Consider the following 10,194-nt stretch of genomic DNA (forward strand, 5'->3'; position numbering starts at 1 on the left):
GGTATTTCTCTATATATTTACATATATGTATATGTTAAATGAAGTGTCTTAAGGATAAAAATATAATAGATATTTAAAAGAGTGCTTATGATGAAAGAATGTCTTAAATACACATTTCTTCCTTTAGCTACCTTGGGATAGTAGTCCATTGCTAGAGGCATATGACATTATTTTAAAGGGCCATTAAACATTAAATGATTCATATACAAGTAAATAAGAATATAAATAAAAGTTGTACTTTATACACTAAAATAACGCACAAGTGAATTTTTCTAATAAATTAAAGGAAATGCACTATACAAGCTCTTAACCTCCTTGTACCCTGGACCTTGCAGGAAGGTTTATTTGAGTTAGGACTGCAGTCTGTGACTACAAAATGAAGACAGGCTCAATGGCTCAAAAGGTTCTCAGTCCCAAATCTTGGCCTCATTACAGGTTGCTCTAAGCAACTTTGTTTTCTCTTGTGGCAGAGGAATGACACTGTTCACATTCAGAACTGAATTCTATGGGCATACCCAGGGTCACATATGATTCTCAGCACAATTATAATTCTATACTTTTCTGATCTATTAACAAAGTGTAATTAAACTTTGGGGAGAATGTCAATATAAGAATGTTCTTAAATCAACTGTGATTTATAAAACAGCAACTCCCTTAATACTTGGTACTTATGATCCAGCATAGTTTGAAATGACGGTGGTGGATTAGCTTAGTACAGACAATTCTCCCATTCCAAACACGTGGAAAAGCTAGATACATGCACAAAAAAAAATTATTTAAGTAAACGGCTAAGCTTGAAAGGAAAATCCATAAATTTCAAAAATGAAGAGGGTTATTCAAAGTCAGAATAGTAAGTGTATGAGAAAATACCAACTTTAATGGGGGTGAGACCATCTAATGGCTAGGGACTGAGGTTTTAGCACCTACAGAAGGCATCTCCTTGAGACTCAGTTAAACAGAAGCTGAAACTTATCTGAAACTGAATTTCACATAATTGCAGGAACTCTGAAAAGACTATTCCTTGCATAAAGGGAGCCAAGAAAACTTTAGTTTTCAAGTCCAGGGACACAGCAAGAAACTTCCATTGTCTGCCCATTACTCTGGGTTGGGTTAAAAACCAAATGCTCCCATTAAAAACTGGAACTTTAACCCTGCACTTGGTACACTGAATCCAAATTAACTCCATCATCTTCATATAAAATGCCCAAGATGGAAATTTAACATAAGAAGCTGATTCTGGAATTGCTGGGGCCCTGATTACTGTGATGGAATTCTCCCAAAGCCCTGGGCTTACAGATTTTCACTTGGAGAAATGCTAACTGCTGAGCATACCTACAAAAATACAGTGACAATCTACATGAGACAAGTATCCATCAAGCAGTGAGCAGCACTACAACAGGAGGATCAGCACTCTAAGAATTTGAGGTAGCATAATCAAAGGAGACCAGAAAGTAGGGAAGTTTTAAATGATATGTAGAAACTGAAGACAAACAAACAAAAAAAATGGGTAAACTTGTAAAGAAGAAATAGAACTTCTAAAAATAAAAATACAGGCATAGAAATTAAAAAAGTAATAAATGTTAGCAGACAAGATAGGAAGTAATATCATTTGTGAATAGAAGATTTAAGAAAATTAGAACCAAGTACAGAGAGATAGAAGATATGTGAAAAATTAAGACACAAAGAACGGATTGGAAAAGTCTAACAATATGCCTAATAGAAGTTTCAGAAAGAAAGAATAAAGAGAATGAGAGTCCATAGAAAGATATAATGAGTAATAATTTTCCAGAACTAAAAAGAAAGACATGAGTCCACAGATCAAAGAATCATACTGTGGTCACAAGCGGAATAAATAAATAAATCAAAAACAGGTTTCATCATAAACTGAAAAATGCCAAAGACAGAGAGAGAATATCTAAAAGAACATGAGAAAAAAAAAGATTACTCACAACGGAGCAAAGAATGACTGAACTCACTAGCATCAGAGGGCAAAAAACAATAGATTAGTATCTTCAGATTAGTATCTGAGGGAAAAGTAGCTCCTGGGGCTGCACCATGGCATCCATGGGAACCCTCGCCTTTGATGAATATGGGCACCCTTTCCTCATCATCAAGGATCAGGACCTCAAGTCCTGTCTTATGGGACTGAGGCCCTTAAGTCTCATATAGTGGCAGAAAAGGCTGTAGCAAATATGATGAGAACATCACTTGGGCCAAATGGGCTTGATAAGATGATGGTGGATAAGGATGGTGATATGACTGTAACTAACGATGGGTCCCCATCTTAAGCATGATGGATGTCGATCATCAGATTGCTAAGCTGATGGCGGAACTGTCCAAGTCTCAGGATGATGAAATTGGACTTGGAACCACAGGAGTGGTAGTCCTGGCTGCTGCCTTGTTAGAAGAAGCCAAGCAGTTGCTAGACTGAGGCATTCACCCAATCAGAATAGCTGATGGTTATGAGCAGGCTGCCAGCGTTGCTGTTGAACACCTGGACAAGATCAGTCATAGTGTCCTTGTTGACATAAAGGACACTGAACCCCTGATTCCGACTGCAAAAACCATGCTGGGCTGCTCCAAAGTGGTCAAAGTTGGCACCAACAAATGGCTGAGATTGCTGTGAATGCTGTCCTCACTGTAGCAGATATGGAGCGGAGAGATACTGACTTTGAGCTCGTCAACGTAGAAGGCAAAGTGGGCGGGAGGCTGGAGGACACAAAACTGATCAAGGGCGTGATTGTGGACAAGGATTTCCAGTCACCTATAGGTGCCGAAAAAAGTGGAAGATGCTAAGATTGCAATTCTCACATGTCCATTTGAACCACCCAAGCCAAAAACAAAGCATAAGCTGGATGTGACCTCCATAGATCATAAAGCTCTTCACAAATATGAAAAGGAGAAATTTGAAGAGATGATTCAACAAATTAAAGAGACTGGTGCTAACCTAGCAATTTGTCAGTGGGGCTTTGATGATTAAGCAAATCACTTATTTCTTCAGAACAACTTGCCTGTGGTTCGCTGGGTAGGGGGACTTGAAATTGAACTGATTGCCATCTCAACAAGAGGGCGGATTGTCCCAGGTTCTCAGAGCTCACGGCCAAGATGCTGGGCTTTACCGGTCTTGTACAGGAGATCTCATTTGGGACAACTAAGGATAAAATGCTGGTCATCGAGCAGTGTAAGAACTCCAGAGCTGTAACCATTTTTATCAGAGGAGGAAATAAGATGATCATTGAGGAGGTGAAACGATCCCTTCACGATGCTTTGTGTGTCATCAGCAACCTCATCCGCGATAATCGTGTGGCATACAGAGGAGGGTTTGCTGAGATATCCTGTGCTCTGGCAGTTAGCCAAGAGGTGGATAAGTGCCCCACCTTAGACCAGTACACCATAAGAGCGTTTGCCGACGCTCTGGAGTCGCCCCATGGCCCTTTCTGAAAACAGTGGCATGAATCCCATCCAGACTACGACAAAAGTCCGAGCCAGACAAGTGAAGGAGATGAACCCTGCTCTCGGTACTGACTGTTTGCACAAGGGGACAAATGATATGAAGCGACAACATGTCATAGAAATCTTGATTGGCAAAAAGCAACAGACATCTTTCGCAACACAAATGGTTAGAATGATTTTGAAGATTGACGACATTCATAAGCCTGGAGAATCTGAAGAATAAAGACACTGAGAATACTACGTAGTAAGATCCATTACTGTGATTAAATGGATGTCTTGTGAAGCATCTACAGTTATTTATTACATCAGTTTTCAGACACTGTAGATACTATAATAAAAATAGCCCTTCGGTAACCATAGTTTGACTTGTTCAAAGCTATGTAATTGTAGGGGTACTATCTCAACAGCTTTTGTATTCATTATATTAAAGGAATCTCCTTAAACAACAACAAGAAAAATTGAGGGAAAAGCTGTCTGAGTGAGACAAATGTAGTTTAACATACAGTTTCCACTTTCTCCTGCCCTCAAAAGAAGAATATTAACGGAAATAGTTTAGGAAGAAGAAAACGTTTCCCAAAAGGAAGGAGTGGGTTGCAAGTAATGAATAGTGAGTGCTATCAATAAAACTGGTAAATAAGTACGACTGAGCACAAACTAAAACAGTAACAACAAAATGAGGATGGGAGGAGGATGAAAACCAAGGTGAAACAAACATCTGTGATCTATAACAACGTGAAAAATTAGTGCAAGATGTTAGGACTTAAACCATTCCAAGGTCTGTGTTCTGTTAAGCCTGTATGCATGTTCTCTTAGTTTCCTAGGGCTGTTACAACCAATTATCACAAACTTGGTGGTTTAAGTAAAACAATAAATGTATTCTCTCACAGTTGTGGGGGCCGGAAGTCCAAAACCAAAATGTTAACAGGATAAATTCCTTCTGGAGGCTCTGAGGAAGAATCTGTTTCATGAATCCCCTGGCTTCTCGTGGCTGCCGGCAATCCTTGGCGTTCCTTAACTTGTAGCTAGGACTCCAGTCTTTGCCTCTGTCTTCACGTGGCTTGCCCCTTTGTGAGATTGCCTTCATGTGCCCTCTCCTTTTCTGCCTCTTACAAGGAACCTCATCATTGGATTCAGAGCCCACTCTAATCCAGGATGACCTAATCTTGAGATCCTTACCTTGATTATATCTGGAAAGACCCTTACCCCAAATAAGGTTATATTCTAAGGTTCTGGGTGGACATATTTTTTGAGGACCACAGGTCAACCCAGTGTTCATGTTAAGAATGTAAAAGTAGCTACTAAAAAGGTTTTTCTAAAAAGTAGAATGTATACATTCTAAACAAACAGAGAAACAGAAATCTCCTTGAAGGTAGGAAAGAAGAAATAAAAGCATGGTGAATCATAAACCAAAGTCCAAATAAATTAGAAATGATTTTACATGCAAACAAGTTAAAATGCAACTGTTAAAAGACAAATTCAGATTAAAAACAAGACCCATGCATACCATTGCTTCTCTAAATATTCACAGACGTGTTTCATTCTCTTTAATACCTTCTTCAGTGCCTTAGCTTAGCAAGATAGAAGTACGTTTTCATTTGATTTGTGTCCTCAAATCATTTTCACCTGTGACATTAAGCTCAGCCTACAGAGGTTACAGAATAGAAAAAAGTCCCTTTCAAGCCAAATTTCTCCTTTTCAGGTGGTAGCCAATGAGTTAATTTTTCTGGAGCAGCTTTACAATTTTTTATCTTTGAAGTACTTTTAGATGGCTTAAAACATTAGTAAAAGGTTAAAGCTGTAGGATTTATTTTTCATCCCCCACTCATGTTTATTCTTCTGCCAATTTCATGTCTTAATTACCAAAAAAATTCTTTGAAATTCCTGACTACAAAGAACAACTCTTTTTACCAAACCTGTAGACTATGACTGATTTTCAGTCATGGTGAGCACGAATTCTGAATGCACAGCACGGGTCAATTTTAATGAGTTCAGAATTTCTTCTAAAAAGTCATTTGCAAACATACACACATGCACATCCAAACGGTAGCTCTTACAATTTTATCTAAGAAAAATTATGGGTTTCAAAATAAGATACAAAATACAAATTTTGAGCACAATGATGTAAAAAAGATGAAGAAAATTTCATCCATGGACTAAATGGACTTTTCCCCTAACCCCCATCTTGATGAAAAGATGCAATAGCCAGCTAGCCCTAAACAATGTGAACTATGTTTGTTTGTTTTTTTTAAGTGGACAATGAATATAGAAGCAATTTTAATTCAAGACCTACTCCAATTCTTATTAAACCTAAAAGTCAGACTAATTCTCTGCCCTTCAAAATATAGTTGAAAATTAGCTTTGTTTGCCTCCCCCAAAATATTGCTCTCTTCGATGGCAGGATTCTATAATTCATCTTTATATACCTGACTCACTGCATAGTGCTTGATGGTCAATAAATTTGTTGAATGTGCAAATTTACACAATAAATTCCCCCAAAACTGATTTCCCTTAGGTCATAAAGACTCTTTCTCCCACACTTTCACAACATTAGCAGGCCACAAGAGTTTATGTTCTGACAATCTGACCCCACATTATTCTCTGAACAAAGTAGTTCAGGCCTAAAGAAAAGTCAATACATTCAATCCACAGCCCTATGAGGTATTATGAAAGTGACCAGCAATTCTAACTCTTATTTTGGTTTTTAGAACAAATTAAGGTATTTTATTATTTAAACATGGAGAATAATTTTCTTTTAATAAATTATTCCCTTTTATTAAATAAGTTACTTTTAAATAAAATTTAAAAGATAATTAAAAGACATCACTTCATCTGTAAGGCCTTACTCAAAATGACAGGAGACAAATTTCACAAGTTGAAAACTTTGGATTCTATTTTAGTAATCACTGCTACATTTTAAAAATGAGCTAGAGCTGGGCACAATGACTCTGGAGGCTGAGGCAGGAGGATCACTTGAGGCCAAGAGTTTGAGAACAGCCTGAGCAACATAGCAAGACTCCATCTCAAAAAAAAAAAAAAATTAACCAGGCATGGTGGCACATGCCTGTACTCCCAGCAACTTGGGACTTGAGCCCAGGAGTTAAAGGCTGCAGTGAGCCAAGATGCCATTGCACTCCAGACTGGGTGACAGAGCGAGACAACTCAAAAAAAAAAAAAAAAAAAAAAAAAACCATTATAAAGTGAGCTAGAAAGTCAAGTAAAAGCAGTGAAAAGATACTAGAGTTAGACTTGTTGAACAATTGGGTGAGACAGAAAAAAGAGAGCAATTTTAAGTGATAACGGACTCTATTTTAACTGCCTCTTATACATTTCCTTGTTTTGATGGAGGCGAGCTATAGCTGGTAATCAGAATCTTATGTCTCTCTCTTTGCTACCTATTGAAAAACAGTCATTTAAGAAAATTTTTGTTGGGAGAAAAAAGGTGCTGCCTTAAGTAACTTTGGAATATGTTTTGACTGGATACTGTAAGGTTAAAGATGAAAAGAAGTGTACTCCAGTAGGTAAACTTATTATACATATTCTAGGTTAGCAATTCTGCAACCACTTTATTGTGTACTAGGGCTGAAAAAAATAGAGGCATAACTTATAGATAATGAAAGTTAAGTTCCTCACTGGCAGAGAAAGAAGTTACAAATAAATGAAGGGGAAAAGCTAGAATGAATCCTATGGTGCTGGATTAGGAGTTACAGATATCCATATAGACTCATTTTTAAATATATACAGAAATATACAGAAATCATTACAGATATGTGTGTATACCTATGTTAGTAAACATTCATGTATTTCCTAGCTCTGTTCACTGAGGTCTAGAAGCCATGACATCCCAGTAACAATAAGCGCATTCAGCACTCAAATCTTGGATTGTAAATAACATCCTCCAATAAAAGGAGCAGGGCTCTTTGGAGAAATGACTGATTCTAGGGCTGGGCAGAGAAAATAGAAGATCAGCCTGGAGCATCGTGGTAGTGCCAGAAAGTAAAAGCTAAAAAGAAAAAAAATGGGAGCATGTCAAAAAGATATGGCTCCCAATGGCCAAAGTTGGAACAATTTGAGCAACAAAACAAATAATTACAGTACTGGATAGTACGGCCGAAAAAATAAAATACGTATCTACAAGTCTACACTGAAAAATATCTCCCCTACATTAGAATTCCAAATAATGTATGTAGAAACCCCTCCCAAGAAAATGGAGCTTAACTCCCCTCCCTGTGAGCACTGTTGGACTTACTGACTTGCTTCCACAGAATAGAATATGAAATGAGAAAACAGTAACTTTATAATGGAGAAACCTGGCACATATCATTTTAACCAAGTGATCGAGGTTAAACTTAGCAGTGCTACGTCACGTCGATATCATGTACATATCGATATGAGAAAGTTACCTCACTTCTGTGGTATTCTTCCGCGGAAAACTATAATCCCAGTATAGTCATGACCCAAATTAAGGGACGTTCTACCAAATATCTAACCAGTACTCTTTAAAAATGTCAAGATCTGTAAAAACAAGGAAAGACTGATAAACTGTTCGAGTAAGAAGGCATGATTAAATACAATGTAGTGTCTTAGATTGGGTCCAAAACCAGAAAAAGGGCATTAGTAGAAAAACTGATGAAATCCAAATAAAGTCTGTAGTTTAGTTAATAGTGTTGTACCAATGTTGACATCTTAGTTCTGACAAATGTTCCATGCTTAAAGTATTAACATTAGGGGAAAATGAATGGTGAATGTAGGAACTCTTAACTTTGCAACTTTTCTGTGAGTCTAAAATTACTCCAAGGTTTTTTAAAGTTTTGGAGTATTTAAAGAAATCTAAACGTTCTACAACTCTTACTAATTTGTGTATTTTATCTATAAAATAAAAAAATAATTTTCATAATTCAAATATATCAACATGTTCAAAGTCAGTGATACAGGAAGAGAACTAAATACAGCCATGTGTTTCAGTCAACAATAGACTGCTCATACAATAGTGGTCCTCTAAGATTATAATGGAGCTGAAAAATTCCTATCACCTAATATTTATTACACTGCACTTTTTATGATTATTTTAGAGTACACTACTACTTATTTTTTTAAAAAAGTTAACTGCAAAAACTTCCTCAGGCAGGTCCTTCAGGATGTATTCCAGAAGAAAGCATTGTTAACCTAGCAAATGACAGCTCCCTATGTTATTGTCCCTGAAGACCTTCCAGTGGGACAAGATGTGGAAATGGAAGACAGTGATATTGATGGTTGATGAACCTCACCTTGTGTGGGCCGAGGCTAGTGTGTGTATCTGTCTGTGACAAAGTTCAACAAGGAAAAAAAATTAATAATAGAAAAAAGCTTATAAAGATATGCTTTTGTACAGCTGTACAATGTGTTTTAACTGATATTACAAAAAAAGTTAAAAAGGTAAAGTTCATAAAGTAAAAAAGTTATAATCAGCTAATTTATTATCAAAGAATTTATTATAAATGTAGTATAGCTGTGTAGTCCAATGTTTATAAAGTCTACGATAATGCATAACATTCTAGGCCTTCACATTAACTCATCACTTCCTCACCAACTGACCCAGAGCAACTTCCAGTCCTGCAAGCTCTACTCATGGTAAGTCCCCCATTTTTTTTTTTCTTTCTTTCTTTTAAACAATATTTTTACTGTACTTTTTCTATGTTTAGATACACAAATACTTACCATTGTGTTCCAATTGCCCAAAATATTCAGTAACTTGCTATACAGGTTGGTAGAGTAAGAGCAATGGGCTATACGATATAGCCTAGGAATGTAGCGTAGTAGTCTAGACCATCTAGGTTTAAGTACATTCTAGGATGGTCTCACAATGACAAAATCACCTAAAGGACACATCTCAGTACATTTTCCTAGGCATTAAGTGATGCAAAATAGTACAAAACACTAGTTTATTCTTAAGATGATCATCGGAAAGGTTTAAATGCATTTTACAAATTCTGTATAACTAAAGCTCCCACCATTTCTGTAAAAAGTTACATTTAGATGAGTAGAAGCTATTCTACTATCAGCTACTGAAGAGATAAGTAGAAAGATATTGTTGCCTAGTGGCATACAATGCAGGCTTATTTTTTGTGTGTGTGAAAGATTACTCTGAAAGAGCATGAGGAATATGCCTAATTTTCTCTCAACTTTCCAGTATATAATCCCGATCACACTTATTTAAAGTCATTCGTGACTTTAAATTGCATTTTCATAATTTACCAAATTTTAGCTACTACTACTTTAAGAATTTCTGTCTTGAAAAAACTTAAGATTCAACATGGGAAAAAGAAAAAAGGAAAACATACCTAAGATACTAGGTTTTAGAACAACTATGTACTACTACAAGTATCTTTTATAGCTGTATAATCTACAAGTATAAGGATGAAAAGATACTAAAAATAGATACCAATCCTAGGGTTTTCAATTTTTTCAAGGTAGGGAACTGTATTATTTCACTTTTGAAATCAGATGTACATATATTAGAAAAATCAATTAAATTGACATAATTATATAAAGCTGTAATTTTATGAGATAAAATCTTATTTAAGAGCTTTACAAAAAAACATGCAATAAAGTAACACGGAACCCAGGAATCAGTGACTTCACTTAACTCCCACAGCCCCAAACTTCTCAACAAAGAACGTTCTACCCACTAGTACAGAGATTAAAAAAATGAAATAAAGTATCTTGAAGAAATAGAGTATCTTGAGGACATACTAAGACTTTTTC

The 10,194-nt window shown here is 36.3% G+C and overlaps 1 pseudogene; it reads left to right on the plus strand.

The window, feature by feature from the left end:
- Positions 2,029 to 3,900, plus strand: CCT5P1 (chaperonin containing TCP1 subunit 5 pseudogene 1; annotated as a pseudogene).

The sequence above is a fragment of the Homo sapiens genome, chromosome 5 (genome assembly GCF_000001405.40).
Source record: "Homo sapiens chromosome 5, GRCh38.p14 Primary Assembly".
Lineage (NCBI taxonomy): Eukaryota > Metazoa > Chordata > Mammalia > Primates > Hominidae > Homo > Homo sapiens.